This window comes from Homo sapiens, chromosome 2, assembly GCF_000001405.40.
Source record: "Homo sapiens chromosome 2, GRCh38.p14 Primary Assembly".
Taxonomy (NCBI): domain Eukaryota; kingdom Metazoa; phylum Chordata; class Mammalia; order Primates; family Hominidae; genus Homo; species Homo sapiens.
In genome coordinates, this window is record NC_000002.12 from 199,894,786 (window position 1) to 199,911,207 (window position 16,422).

The 16,422-nt window shown below is 39.1% G+C and overlaps 1 long non-coding RNA gene and 1 pseudogene across 3 annotated transcripts in view; both read right to left on the reverse strand.

Annotated features, from left to right (window-relative positions):
• LOC101927687 (uncharacterized) overlaps positions 1-16,361 on the reverse strand; it is a 32,651-nt gene extending 16,290 nt beyond the window's left edge. For all 3 annotated transcript variants that reach the window (XR_923766.4, XR_923769.4, XR_241384.6), the window contains exons 1-2: positions 16,240-16,361; positions 14,318-14,387 (exon numbers count right to left, since the gene is read on the reverse strand). This is a non-coding gene — a long non-coding RNA (uncharacterized LOC101927687). The remainder of the gene's footprint in view (positions 1-14,317; positions 14,388-16,239) is intronic.
• RN7SL717P (RNA, 7SL, cytoplasmic 717, pseudogene) lies at positions 6,296-6,592 on the reverse strand (annotated as a pseudogene).
• Positions 16,362-16,422: the final 61 nt, after the last annotated feature.

Here is a 16,422-nt window from a genome sequence, read left to right on the forward strand (position 1 = left end):
GTACAAAAGCTAAGCCAAATTTTAGAGATTACTATTTATTTGGGCCCATTTAACATTTAGACAAAGGCCATCTTCCTTCTCAAGCTGCGACTAATAAGCTGTAATGAATCTTTGGTCTTCTAGTCAAACATATAAAATCTAGAGAATGGAGAGTTATTAATTTTTATGATAGACCCTTGAGAACCTGATGAAAGGTATATACAGTCTCACCCCAGGAAAAAACATACTGTAATTTTTTAGTTAGTTCAGAGGTTCACAGATCCTGTGAAGCCTAACCATAGATCCAGATGTAAAATCCTCTCATCTAAAAAGTTAGCAGTTATTAGAGATGGTTTAAAGGTTTCCTTTTTGCTAATTTTTATTTTCTAAGTTTCATAAAACAAAAATTATTTGTGTTAAAATATATATATATATTTTAAAAATAAGCCCATGCTATATGATATGCATAAAGGATCTTGTAAAATAAATTCATCATGTAGTGAACTTGTCAAAGACTGACAGGTTTTGAATGAGGCATGACTATAATACAAGGCACTTAGTTTTACCATCTGTAAAATGGAGTAATTAATATTAATCAGTCATTATGTCATATAGGTTAATACTTGCAAAATTCTAATAATTGTGATTTTTCTATGCTCTCCCTGGGTAGTCTCTCTGTCATTTAGATTGTAATTTTCTTCCCTAGTCTTGAAGCAGATATAATGCCACAGCTGTTTCTTCAGCTATTCTGTTTTCTGTGAACAAACACCTGCTTAGACTGTACCTAAGGAGTTATTTGTTTTTTGATAATTAAAGCACTGCTATGGTGATGGCCGACATCTGGATTCACTTTTAAAGACTTTGTTGTGTTTTTCTGGCTCCTGGGAGACTCATGAAGTATAACGCATTAGATGGAAATGTGGTGATGTGCTTCATTTTGCAACAGCAGTTTTACTCTCGCTTTGTTATTTCCCTACTGCAATGAGAGAGAGCTGCCACTCTGCTTGTTGCTGCTAAGAGATTAGGGGAGCTGAGCTGAGCTCTAGAAATTTAATATGCTATATAATGCCTGATTCATTTTGATTCTGGCTTTGACTTGATAAACTCACTTGGGACTGCTATAAAGAATCAATATTGGCCCGCTGCCACAGTGGCTCATGTCTTAATCCCAGCACTTTGGGGGGCTGAGGTAGGCGGATCACTTGAGGCCAGGAGTTTAAGATCAGCTTGGCCCACATGGTGAAACCCCATCTCTACTAAAAATACAAAAATTAGCTGGGGGTGGTGGTGCATTCCTGTAATCTCAGCTACTCAGGAGCCTGAGGCACGAGGATTGCATGAACCCGAGAGGCGGAGGTTGCAGTGAGCTGAGATTGTACCACTGCACTCCAGCCTGGGTGACAGACAAGAGAGGGTGCATAAAAAAAAACAAACAAAAAAAACCCCAGAAACAAAAGAATCAATATCCAGGGATTGAAAATTTGTATACATTTGTATTTGTATAAACTGGTTTTAAGATAATTTCTTTTGGAGGACAAAAAACGTCTAAGGTCTCCAACTATTTCCAACAGTAATAGAGAAACTTGGCAAAAATATCCCCATATTATGTATAATTTCCTTAAAAGATACATTCTTCAATTTCTGCTCAATAATAGTTCACTAAACTTTTCTAGAGTTTGTTTTCCAGCATTATGCACCTTTGTTTACAGTGATTATAAATTATATAATTACTCCCTCTACCTTAATATTCTTCTTAGCCTGTTACAGGTAACAGTTCTTCAAAGGAAGAAATATGTTTTCAGTCAGGACTCACAGTTGTAAGTAACAGAAGCTAATTCTGGCTGAGTGAGCAGAAAAGAATTTGTTAAAAGGAGATGGGAAGACTCAGAGAATCAATGGGAGGCTAGAGGAACAGGTATGGAATTAGGCTTCCAGGAACAATGCTTAAAACTATCCCATAAAACTGGTCCAATGACAAAGTCACCGCCACAACTTATTAATGCCCTACCAAACACTAAATGTAACTGCTGCCACTCCCACTGCCCAGCAAGGCCACTACTGCACTAGTTGTGGCCTTGCAAGCACTGCCATCCCAAATGTCATATGCCTTTATCAGCAAATTGTTTTCAAAGCAGAATTTTTCCTTTCTCAAGCTGCTAACTTCCAAATCAGTCTTCTGCAGGCGTGCTGGCCCTAGCTTTGAGAGTCTGGAAAAATTTTCAGAGCTTACCTTGGGGAAGCAACACTTATATTAAGATTGGAAATTCCCTAAACATAGCAAATATATTCAAAACATCCTGAGCTACCAGAAAATATGAAAATGTTTACTACAGGAGAAAATCAATTTTAGTTAAGAGTATATGCTAAGTGTCAGATGCTTTAAATCACATTACTTAATGCTCACAAAAATAGATATTTAACTCTATTTTAGTGAAGGGAAAGCTGGGGCTCAGAAAGGATGTTACTAGCCCTGAATTGTCTTGTTGGTAAAATGGAGAACAGAGATTCATGCCAGGCTTTTATCCTTCCAAATTCTTCATTTTATTTTATCTTATTTTTATTTTTATTATTTTTTTATTTTTTTGAGACAGAGTCTCGCTCTGTTGCCCAGGCTGGAGTGCAGTGGTGCAGTATTGGCTCACTGCAAGCTCTGCCTCCTGGGTTCACGCCATTCTCCTGCCTCAGCCTCCTGAGTAGCTGGGACTATAGGCGCCCGCCACCACGCCCAGCTAATTTCTTGTATATTTAGTAGAGACGGGGTTTCACTGTGTTAGCCAGGATAGTCTCCATCTCCTGACCTCGTGATCTGCCCGCCTCATCCTCCCAAAGTGCTGGGATTACAGGTGTGAGCCACCACGCCCGGCCTATTTTATTTTTTTACAACAGAACTCTAATTTCCACTTCCCAGCTTCTAATGCACATATAAGCAGTGGTGTACAAAGTAGTGGGGCCGTGGGGAGAGTAAAATCATCAGCTCTTGGGAGCAGGCAACCAAAGATGCCTTATGTGGGAGAAAATTTAAAAACAATAGTAAAACAGACTAAAAATAGATCTGCTTTTCAATGATAATCATCATGTGATATCAATTCTAAACAATGTCAGCAATAAAATATTCCTTCTTGCTGAGGTGAACTGTTCCCCACTCCTTGGTAACCAGTACATATAGGAAGCCCCCAAGTTAATTTGCAAGATTTTTCCAAAGAGAAGTTTGTTTAGAACTTGTAATAAAAGTGCCATAAACAGTCTTATTTTCCTAGAGTAGACCATAAAGAAGCCATTTAATACATGATGTACTAAGTACCTATCTTTTAACATTGTTTCTAAGAATAAATAAATTCCAATTTTCATTTTGGAAGCACATCTCTCCCAATTTTGGCAGTGTGAGAAGGGGCTGTTTATCTTCTAGTAGCATCAGACCCTCTGGTAATATGACAGAACCTCCTGGGAGAGCTCCTTGGGCAGCAGAGGCTCTCTTGGCAAGATGGCTGTTGCAGATGAGGAGAAAGATGGGTCTTGGTAATTTATACAGTAGAAGAGGAAAGGGCACCTCTTTAAACTGGCAAGAGAAAGTAACTATTTAGGTTAATAGGTTTAGAGAGTTTGAGATCTTGAAACATTACTTTGCACCACCACCAAATTATATGCTGAATTCATTCATAAATAGGGAAACTTGGCTGGGCACGGTGGCTCACGCCTGTAATCCCAGCACTTTGGGAGGATCGAAATTATTAAAAGACTACTGACTAGATCAATGAAACAGAATAGAAAGCCCAGAAATAGACCCACTCAAATATAGTCAACTAATCTTTGACAAAGGAGCAAGGGCAATACAATGGAGCAAAGATAGTTCAACAAATGGTGCTGAAACAACTGTCCATCCACAAGCAAAATAAAAAATAAATGTAGACACAAATTTTACATCTTTCATAAAAACTAACTCAAAATGTATCACAGATCTAAATGTAAAATGAAAAGCTATAAAAGTTCCAGTAGAAAACAGGGAAAAATCTAGGTGACCTTGGGTTTGGTGATGTCTTTTTGGATACAATACTTAAAGCACAATCCATAAGAGAAAACACTGATAGTTGGACTTCCTTATAATGAAAACTTCTGCTTTGTGAAATTCACTGTTAAGAGAATAAAAAAGGCTGAGCATGGTGGCTCACGCTTGTACCAGCACTTTGGGGGGCTGAGGTGGGAGGATTGCCTGGGCCCAGTTCAAGACCAGCCTGGGCAACAAAGTGAGACCTAGTCATAGAGACAGAGAGAGATAGAGATAGATATAGAGAGAGAGAAGACAAGTTACAGATTAGAAAAAAAATTTGCAAAACATATGTCTGACAAAGGCCTGATATCCAAAATGATTAAAGAACTCTTAAAAGCTAAGCAGTGAGAAAACAAACAGCCCAATTAACAAATAAACCAAAGATCTAAGCAGACACCTCACCAAAGAAAATATTCACATGGAAATAAGCATATAAAAAGACACTCAACATTATACATCATCAGGGAATTACAAAATGAAACGATGAGTTATTATCACACACCTATTAGAATGGCCCAAATCCAAAACATTCACAACACCAAATGTTGGTAAGGATGTAGAGCAACAGAGTCTTTCATTTAATGATGGTGAGAATGCAAAATGGTATAGCCATTTTGGAAGATAGTTTGAGTTTTTTAGAAAACTAAACATACTTTTACCATTCAATCCAGCAGTTGCACTTTTTGGTATTTACCCAGACGACCTAAAAACTTATGTTCAAACAAAAGCCTGCACACAAATGCTTATAACAGCTTTATTCATAATTGCTGAAAACTTGGAGGCAACCAAGATATCCTCCAATAAGTGAAAGAATACATTAACTCTGATTCATAAATTCAATGGAATATTATTCAGCAATAAAAAAATGAGCTGTCATGCCAAAAAGGTATGAAGGAAACTTAAATGCATATTGCTAAGTGAAAGAAGCCAATCTGAAAAGGCTGGTTACTACCTAATTCTATCTGCGTGACATCCTGGAGAAAGTAAACTATGGAGACAGTGAAAAGATCAGAGGTCTCCAGGGGAGCAATGACTAGGTGGAACAAAGGGGATATTTAGTGTAGTGAAACTATTCAGTATGATACTGTAATGGTGGATTCATGGCAGTACACATTTGTCAAAATCCATAGAATGTAAATATTAGATGGTGCAAAAGTAATTGCGGTCTTTGCCATTTTTAATGGCACCAACCTAATACAAACAGTGAGCCCTAATGTAAATCCCCCTGCCTCAACCTCCCAAAATGCCGGGATTACAGGAGTGAGCCACTGCTTCCAGCTTTCCTAGTTCCTTTTTATAGATGGAGTTTCACTCTGTCACCCAGGCTAGAGTGCAGTGGCACGATCTCAGCTCACTGCTACCTCCACCCACCAGGCCCACCTCAGCCTCCCGAGTAGCTGGGACCACAGACGTATGCCACCATGCCCAACTGATTTTTTAATTTTTTTGGTAGAGACATGATTTCACAATGTTGCCCAGGGTGGTCTTGAACTCCTGAGCTCAAGCAATCTGCCCGCCTCAGCATCCCAAAGTGCTGGGATTACAGGAGCCACTGTGCCTGGCTTACAAGCTCTTTTTGAGGATTTTCTTTTTCTTTCTGTTTTTGGTCTATGCCTAGTGGCATTTCTGAGTTGCTGGCTTCTTCAGCTCCAATTCTGCAATATATGACGCAAAAAGAATACCCAAGGTATCACTACCATTTTGTTCCTTGAGTCCTGAGGTCCCTAGGTGGTCTGCTTTCTCCTCTCTATCTTTCAGAGTCTTCTTCAGTTTGTTTTATAAATAATGTCCAGGGTTTTTAGTTGTACTTATCAGGAGGAATACAGAAATTCCTATTTATTCCATCTTCTCACAAGCATTTTATGAACTTCCCTATTTCACTAAGGAGTTCTTCAGTAAGAATGCTGATGGTATCAGCTCCTAGTTGTGTATGAAAAGATACAGAAAGAAAGAGACAAGAGTTAAAAATGGCCAGTAGTCAAACCAAATATAAAGGGAGTATTAAGGGCCCAGGACTTCTTATGTTGGAAAATAAAACTTTCTATCTCCAGTCTCTCCAATTAAAATATAGCCTGGTAGCCACAGATAAGATCAAGGGTATAAATACAAGATCCTTCATACAGGTCTTTGAAAGAACTAAAGTATAACTATTAGACCTTATCAGCAGGGCAGAGGGGTTTTGGAATTTTAGGGTCATGGTCTTACAGAAACCTTTTCCCAAAGTAAAAATCTCTATATACAGAAGTATGCTTTATTATTATTATTTGTTTAAGAGATGGGATCTCACTATGTTGCCCAAGCTGGAATGCAGCGGCTATTCACAGGTGCAATCCCGTTACTGATCAGCACTGGAGTTGTGACCTGCTGTTTCTGACCTGGATTGGTTTACCCCTCCTTAGGCAACCTGGTGGTCCTCTGCTCCTTGGAGGTTACCATATTGATGCTGAAGTTAGTGCAGACACAAAATTGACATAGCACATTACAGTCCAGAACTCTTGAACTCAAGTGATCCTCCTGCCTCAGCATCCAGAGCAGCTGGGACTATAGGCACACACCACCATGTCTGGTGAGAGGCATGTCTTAAAAACAATTATGGAGGCTGGAAACAGTGGCTCATGCCTGTAATCCCAGCACATTGGGAGGCTAAGGTGGGAGGGTCACTTGAGCCCAGGAGTTTGAGACCAGCCCGGGCAACAGAGGGAGACTCTGTCTCTACAAAAAAATTTAAAAAATTTAGCTGAGTGTGGTGCATGCCTGTGGTCCTAGCTATTTGGGAGGCTGAGGTGGGAGGATTGCTTGAGCCTCACAGGTGAAAGCTGTAGTAAGCCGTGATTGTGCCACTGCACTCCAGCCTTGGCAAAAAAGTGAGACCCTGTCTCAAAAAAAAACCCCAAAACCAAAAAAACAATTATGATTGTGAGCTTTGGAGCATGACATAGACTATAATCAAATACATAGCACACACAATTTTTAAGTAAATTTTATAGGTAAAAAAGCTATTAGCATGCCCTTAAAAGGACTGAGAGTATTCGAATATGCAAAAAGACCTCTGGATCCCTAATTTGCCATTGGCAGAAAGCAGGTTAAGAAAGTTAGTCAGCTGCCAACATGAGCTACTTAAGATGTATCCAAAGGACGATGGAGAAGAAAAGGTGTCTCATAATATATTGCTCAGAATCTAGAGCCAAAACTCACAGGACACAATGGAATACAGAGCCACTCCCAGAGACCTAAGCTGGGCCCCAATCAAGGAATATTCCCTTTCCCAGGAATAGAGGGATCTGATAACATGTGTCTAGAAGAATTTCAAAACTGCTCGGAACCAAGGACTGAAGTGTGCTAACTTTTCTCTTTTTGAATGGAAGTATTTATGTGATTTTCCACTCCTTATTTCACCACTAAATATTGAGTGTATGAGGGACAGGTAACCTTTTTCACTTTATAGATTTGCATATCAGGACGTGCTGCCACATTGGTACCTGATACAGAACATGAAATTCTGAAGTATGAAACCATGACTGGACGAGAATTAGGGTGTCTTGCGGTAGAAGTGAATGTATTTGTATGTGAGTGTATGGGAAAAGACATTTATTTTCTCATCAATCACCAGATTCATGGCTGAGGCCCCTATAACAAAAGAAAGATCAATAGGAGAAAAGCATACAAATTTCTTTAATATAAGTTTAACATGACACAGGAGCTTTCAGAAATGTAGACTCAAATAAACAGGGAAGTTTGTATAATTTTATGCTATGTTTGATGAAGAAGTGGATAGCTGAGAAGTATGGAGAAAGGTGATGTGACCTAACAGTAATAAACTGGAGGGAACTTAGCAAGGCTTGTTTGTTCAGATCCTTCTCTGTGACCCTGTGCCTTCAGAGATAAGGATGTTCCTTTCCTCCGAAAATAGGAAAGGAACCTCTGACAAGAGAGTCATATGATCTTCTTCAGGGGAAGGTCAGGAAATTAAGTTTTATGGCTGCTCCAGGAAAGAAAAATGAGGGGGAAGATGAGAGTGACCTTCCTGCTTCTGCTGTTTTCTCAAATGCCATGATATCATATTTTGGAGTAGGAAGAGGGATCATAAGGAGGGATGTGAATAATTGTGGCCAGAGAGTGGACTGTGGTAGATTCTAAAAATGGCTACAATTCTTCAACCCTTTCTATATCCATGTCCTATGCAATGTGACTTTGCAGTTTCTCCCATTAAGCGGCGGAATCTATTTCTTCACTCCGTGAATTGAGCTGGCCTTATTTCTTGCTCTGGTTAATAGAATGCAGCAGCTGGATAACATGCAAGTTCTAAGTCTTGGCTTCACTGTTGCTCATTCTCCTAGGCACTGCCATCATGAAAATAAGCCCAGACTACTCTTCTGGATAATAAGTGATACATAGTCTAGTTACCTTTGTTGCCTTAGCTAATAGCTAGCCAGTCACCAGACATGCAAGTGAAGCTATAATAAATAAGCCAGCCCCTGGCCATTCTGTCAGCTGAATAAAGGGATTAGCCAAGATCAGTTGATACTGGGCCAGATCAGCAGAACTGCCCAGCTGACTAATAGGTTCATGAGCAATGATAAATACTATTGTTTTATGCCACTGAATTTGAGATTGGTTTGTTAAATATACAGCATTATTGTGACAATAGATAACAGACATATATGGAGTACTGAAGTAGCGGTCCAACTGGCTTCCCTTGACTGCATTTCTGCCTCCTTCAATTTCTTCTCCATACTGCTGTAACAGTGATCTTTCTAAAGTGCAGATCTGATAATGAGTTTCCCTATTTAAAATTATTCAGTGGCTCCCCAGGTTTTTCAAGATAAAGGTTATGTTTAGTCTCATACAATCATTTTTTTAACCTTTAAGCTCTGTTGGGCTTGACAATAATCTAGTCTTAGCTAAGTCTACCTTCTTTCTTTCTTTTTTTTTTTTTTTTGAGACAGTCTCTCTCTTGTCGCCCAGACTGGAGTGCAATGGCGTGATCTCAGCTCACTGCAACCTCTGCCTCCTGGGTTCAAGCGATTCTCCTGCCTCAGCCTCCCAAGTAGCTGGGATTACAGGAGCGCACCACCACACCCGGCTAATTTTTTTTTTTGTATTTTTAGTAGAGACATGGGGTTTCACCATGTCGGTCAGGCTGGTCTCGAACTCCTGACCTCGTGATCCACCCACCTCGGCCTCCCAAAGTGCTGGGATTACAGGCGTGAGCCACTGTGAATAGCCGTACCTTATTTCTTTTTATTCACCTTGTGCTTAAATTCAAAGTTCTCTGAATTCTGATGGGTCTAGAGTGAGCTTGGGTATGGTTGTTTTAAAATATGTCTACAAGAGTTTGGTACTCTTCCCCTCAAGAGGTAGAGCCTCTTCAAAAGGTAGAGGCTAATTCTTCTCCCCTTGAGTGGACTTAATGACCAGGTTTTAATTAGTTCCTCTTCTCCCCATCCCTATGTAATCACTAATCTAACTTCTGAATCTATAGATACTCAATTTTTAGAGCACTTATATAAATGGACTCATAAAATATGTAGTCTTTTGCGACTAGCTTCCTTCACTTAGCATGTTTTCATAGTTCATCCATGTCGTAGCTTGGATCAGTATTTAATTACTTAAAAAAAATAGAGGCAGTGTCTCACTATGTCGCCCAGGCTGGTCTTGAACTCCTGGGCTCAAGCAATCCTCCTGCCTCAGCCTCCCAAAGTGTTGGTATTATAGGCATGAGCCACTGTGCCCGGACTAATTCCTTTCTGTTATTATTGATTAATATTTTATTATTCAATAATATCAATATATTGTATGAATATATGACTTTTTTATTCATTTATCAGTTAATACACATTTGTGTTGTTTTTACTTTTTGGCTATTATAAATAGTACTGTTATAAACATTTATGAACAAGTTGCTGTGTGGTTGTATGTTTTCATTTCTGTTGAATATATACCAAAGAGTAGAATTGCTGGGTCACATGATAAATCTACATTTAACATTTTGAAAACTATCAAACTTCTTTCTAAAGCCACTACACCATTCTTATGAGCAATGCATGAATACCCAACTTTTGTTGACATTTTTTATTATCTGTCTTTTTACTATGACCATCCTGGTAGATATAACGTGGTATCTCTTATGGTTTTCATTTGCATTTCCCTAGTGGCTAATGGTGTTGAGCATCTTCTCATGTGCTTATTGTTTATTTGTATATCTTCTGTGAAATGTCTATTCAGATCCTTTACCCCTTTAAAAAATTGGGTTGTCTTTTTATTACTGAGTAGTAAGAGTGGTTTTTATACTTTGGATATAAATCCTTCAACCAATGGTATAGTTTGGATGTTTGTCCCCTCCAAATCTCATGTTGAGATGTGTTCCCCGATGCTGGAGGGGGGACCTAATGGAAGGTGTTTGGGTCATGGGAGCAAATCTCTAGCCAATAGCTTGGTGCCCTCCCTATGGTAATCAGTGGTTGTAGGCTCACATGAGATCTTGTTGTTAAAAAGAGCCTAGCACCTCTTCCCTTCTCTCTTGCTACCTCTCTTACCATGTGACATGCCAGCTCCTTTTCTCTTCTGCCATGGGTAAAATCTTCCTGAGGCCTCACCAAAAGCAGATGATGGTGCCATGCTTCTTTTATAACCTGCAGAACTGTGAGCCAAATAAACCTCCTCCTTTGTTTATAAATTACTCAATCTCTGGTATTCCTTTACAGCAATATAAAATGGACTAACACAACCAGTATGTTATTTCCAAACATTTTCTCTCATTCTGTGGGCTGTCTTTTCATTTTCTATTGGTGTTCTTTGAAGCACTAAACTTTTTCTAATTAGATAAAAGTGCGATTTGCCTCTTTTTTTTTTTTAATCTTGTGCTTTTGGTGCGATATATGAGAAGGCTTTGGCTAAGCTAAAGTCATGAAGGTTTACTTCTATTTTTTTCTTCTAAAAATTTTATAGTTTTAGCTCATATATTTAGTTCTACACCCCCTTTTGAGTTTTGAATGCTTAAAGAAGGGATCCAACTCCTTTTTTTGCATGTGTCTATCCATTTGACCCTGTACCACTTGTTAAAAGGCTTTTTTTCCCCATTGAATTATCTTGGCACTTTTGTTGAAAAACATTTGACCGTAAATTTAGGGTCTATTTCTAGACTCTCGATCCTATTTTACTGTTTTACATGCCTATCCTCATACCAATATGCACTGTCTTGATTATTGTAGCTCTGTAGTAAGTACTGAAATGGGGAAATGTGAGCCCTCCAACTTTGATCATTTTTTTCAAGATTGTTTTGGCTATTCTGGGTCCCTTGCATTTCCATACACATCTTAGGATCAGCTTAAACATTTTTGCAAAAGAGGCAGCTGGAATTGTGATACAAATGGCATTGAATCTGTAGATCAATTTGAAAAGAACTGTCATCTTAACAATAAGTCTTCTGATCCATGAATATGGGAGATCTTTCCATTTCCTCCCATTTAATATGGGAGGTCTTTTCAAATTTCTTTGAATAATGTTTTGTAGCTTTCACTATATAATTTTGCATTTCTTTAAATTTATTCCTAAGTATCTTTTGATGCTAATGTAAATGGAATTGTTGTATTTTTATTGCTAGCATATACAAACATGACTGTTGTATTGATTTTGCATCCTGCTGAACCTGTGTATTATTTATAATAATTTTTTAGTGGATTCCTTAGGATTTTCTATATTCAAGATCATGTCATCTGCATGGCTTTACTTCTTCCTTCCCAATCTACACAGCTTTTATTTCTTTTTCTTGCCTAATTGCCTTGGGTAGAACTTCCAGGATGATATTGATTAGAAGTAGCAAGAGTAAACATCTTTATTTTTTTCCTATTCTTAGGGGGAAAACATTCAGTCATTTATCGTTAAGTATGTTAGTTGGGTTTTTCATAATGCCCTTTATTAGGCTGAGGAAGTTCCCTTCAACTCTTAGTTTGTTGAGTGTTTTTAATCATGAGTGTTAGATTTTGTCAAATGCTTTTTCTGTGCCCATTAAGATGATTATGTCATTTTTGTTTTTTATTATATTGATATGGTATATAATGTTAATAGATTTTCAGAGATTAAAAACCAACTTTGCATTCCTGGGATAATCCCACATTTTTATGGTGTATAATTCTTTTCATATGTTGCTGGATTTGGCTTGTGTATTAGTCCATTCTTGCACTGCTATAAATAAATACACAAGACTGGGTAATTTATAAAGGAAAGAGGTTTAATTGACTCATAGTTCTGCATGGCTGCAGAGGGCTCAGGAAACTTATAATCATGGCAGAAGGGAAAGCAGCCACCTGCTTCACAAGGCAGCAGAAGTGAGAGAAGTGTGTGAAGGAAGAACTGTCAAACACTTATAAAACCATAAGATCTCGTGAGAACTCACTCACTATCACAAGAACACCATGGAGGAACCGCCCCTGTGATCCAATCACCTCCTTCCCTTGACATGTGGGGATTATAATTTGAGATGAGATTTAGGTGAGGACACAGAGCCAAACCATATCAGCTTGTTAATATTTTGTTAAGGATTTGCTGTATTTTGAATTGATTCAATTTTTTCTACCCTTTAACATTGAGTAAAGTACAATATATGCAAGTATTTTTAGCTAATTATTGCATTTGAGGATTCATTGAGTGGTAAAGATAATCTGTAAGGTCTTGACATGTAGTGATTTGCATTTTGAGGAAGTAGGTGTCTAATAAATTATATACCACAGGAACAGGGTACATGGTGTTGCTTAGCTGGTGAAACTAGCCAAAGAATAAGCTTTCAAATCCCCAAATGGCTCTATTCTCTAATTTTTATTTTATCAAGCACTTTGGGGGCCAAATTACATGCTAGAGTGGCATACCTCATATGAAGCCTGTTCCTCTCAAGGCCCAGTTTTGGCAAACAAGCTTATTAAAACACAAAAAAATACCTATTCAAAACCAAGAATAATTTTTTAAAACTAAAACTTTTCAATCTCTTAAAGAACATCAAATGGGATCCAATTAAAATCTCACAGAACTTCTCAAAATCATTTCCCCACTCCTCTCCCTCTCAACTGCTCACAGAAAGCCACATTTAAGGGCTTTTGCTGCTCGCCCACCCCCACCCCCCCGCTTTTTTTTTTTTTTTTTTAAAGACAGACTCTTACGGTGTTGCCCAGGATAGAGTTCAGTGGCTCAATTTTGGCTCACTGCAACCTCCGCCTCCCGGGTTCAAGTGATTCTCCTGCCTCAGCCTCCCGAGTAGCTGGGATTACAGGTGCCCACCACCATGTTTGGCTAATTTTTGTATTTTTAGTAGAGACAGGGTTTCACCATGTTGGCCAGGCTGGTCTCGAACTCCTGACCTCAAGTGATCCGCCTGCCTCGGCCTCCCAAAGTGCTGAGATTACAGGTGTGAGCCACTGTGCCCGGACTTTTTTGTCTTGTCTATTTTTTTCCCCCATCTCCTGCCTTCCTGTATCCACCCATTTCACCTTTCAGTAGAGAAGCTGCACATTTGTGGCCCCTAGGCCAAATATGGCCTATGTGTGCATTTAATTTAATACGGTGTTTTACAAGCAAATTTAATTAGTTGTCAACATTTACAAGTTGGCAAATGAAACATAAAAATCTGTATCTGATTTGTGTCGAGAAATCTCTTAACAAGTTTGAAGGTTTGGCAAAATGTTGCCTTCATTTTACAACTGGCTAGCAGTGAATAGTGACTGCCTTCTTCAAATATGACATCTCTCTAGTTTGCCAGTGTTTACATTCCCTATTGTTTATTTGTGGCCAATTTTACTATTTATAATATAGACCTGGCCCCTGTAGATATTGGAGTTTGTGCCTTTTAATGCTGTCCTTTCCATTGTAAATTAGCCTTTCTCAGATTCCTTCCAATTTTGCAACTTTTCTATTATATTGAATAGCATTAAAAAGGTCTGAGAGCTCAGCAGGATCCCTTGAGAACTCTCAAGAGTCCAGAGGTGAGCTATAGCCTTTTGGACACTATAAGCATTAATATAATCCCTGTGCAGAACCCTATCAGTTAGAGAAGAGAAAACTCACACAACTGATTAGAGTAACTTTGTATATGTAAGACCTCTTTCCGGGATGGAAAACCAGCTCTGAGAAAAGGGAGAATGCTTGGCCATCTGTGCCAGTGTTGTTAGAAAAGTAGTGATTTACAAAATCGGTCTCCTAGAAGACAGAGGGGATGGAGACAGAAAACAGGTATTACAGTAATATCAAGGGGACCTGTGAGAAGGAATTGCAACGGCAATGACTTGCCATAAATGACATACATACCTCAGCTAATCAATTGAGAGCTGTTACTTTCTCTGGAGGTGTCTCCTACAGGGCTGTACAAATCCCTTGACTGTAAGGAAACATTTGTGCTTACTTTAGTCTGTTTCTTTACTCTACTCTTTAAATTCTTACTTGTATTTCTCAAAGACCTTAATTATCTTAGCGATACTGAGACAACTTTGTGGCATTTAATATTTGCTACAATTTTCCTTATAAAACACATTCTCCACTCTCTTCAATAAGAATAGATTTCATTAAGGCAGGGCATGGTGGCTCCTGCCTGTAATCCCAGCACTTTGGGAGGCCGAGGCGGGTAGATCACCTGAAGTAAGGAGTTCGCAACCAGCATGGTCAACATGGAGAAACCCTGTCTCTATTAAAAAAATACAAAAATTAGCCGGGCGTGGTGGCACATGCCTGTGATCTCAGCTACTAGGGAGGCTGAGGCAAGTGAATCGCTTGAATCTGGGGGGCAGAGATTGCAGTGAGCCGAGATTGTGCCACTGCACTCCAGCCTGGGTGACAAAGCAAGATCTTGTCTTAAAAAAATAAACTTAAAAATAAAAATAGATTTCATTATAAGGTCAAGCTAAAAACAAGACCACAAATCAAAAGCTGCATTTGCAATTCATGTACATGTTTGGACTTTTAGATAACATTTCAGCAATCCTCTATCTAACAATGGAAAGTAACATGTTTGCAATTGGCAAAACAGAGTGACGTCAGGTTGCCTAAATGTCATTATATACTAATTATTGTATAACTAACCTCTACTTGTTTTTAACCAGTTATTTTAGAAAGCGGCAGATTTCCTTAGTAATTAATTGAATAATTTTTGATTGATAACAATATTTTGATGTCAGATGGAATGCAACAATTTAGACCAGAGTAGGTTAGCATACTAAGTCACCAAGTCTATACATATATATAAATCATATTTTATCATTTGCTCATTTATGTTCCTACTCCAAGCCATTTGTTATTATTTGCATATGTAGACCAAAGAAAACAGTATGTGTGCTTAAATACACATATATAAACTCCGAACAATTATATATAAAGTGCTTAGATTTCTGGCCTATAGTAAACCCTCAACAAATGTTGGCTGTAGTTTTTTGTAATTTTCATTAATTATTCTCTTTACAGTGCTTTGTCTCACAAGTACTTGGATCTCATCCTCGCTCGCACACATTTCCCTGTTTTGTTTGTTTTTGGTTTATTTTTTGAGACAGGGTCTGCTTCTGTTGCCCAGGCTGGAGTGCAGTGGTGGGATCACAACTCATTGCAGCATACAACTCCTGGGCTCAAGCGATCCAATCTCCCATCTCAGCCCTCCCAGTAGCTTGGACTATAGGCATGCACCACCACGCCCGGCTAATTAAAAAAAAAAATTTAGTAGAGACAAGGCCTCCCTATGTTGCCCAGGCTGGTTTCAAACTGCTGGACTCAAGTGATCCTCCGCCTCGGCCTCCCACAGTGCTGGGAGTACAGGCCTGAGCATACATTTCGCCAAATCTTATTCCTACTCAACTGGCCACAGATAGTTGCTGGACACACATGACTTTCCTACACTGTTTAGTTTTTGAAAACCTCCAAATAGCAAAACACCAAGTAAAGCGTACTGCCTCGCCCCGTTTTTTTCCTGTCCTAGATCATGTACCCTGTTCCCAAACAGAGATGAATTAGCTTCATATCTAACCACAAATTCTCCATGAGCACAGAGATCTTCGTATATCTATAATAATTGTACTCAGGAAACTCAAGGTATGAGGAGAGAGATTCCCTTCCTTCGGGGCTTGTAGGAGACTTCCCACGGAATCTTCTTTGGGAATGTCTCCCTTTTAAGCCCTGAAAGACCAGATAAATCTCAGGTGAACCTAGAGAAACAGGGAGCTTCGTATACTCAAAAGTCTATACATTACGTATTATTGAACGGCGACCTGCGGCCGCCCCTGCTGCTGCGCATGCTCCATAACTGCCGCTTGCTATAGCTGGGAGTACTGTATTATCTCTTTGCTCTTCGCCGGCTCTTCCCCAGACTTCTGTTCGAACTTCCCGGCCGCGGCAGAACCCACCAATCACAAACGCCCTTCCTCAAGCCACGC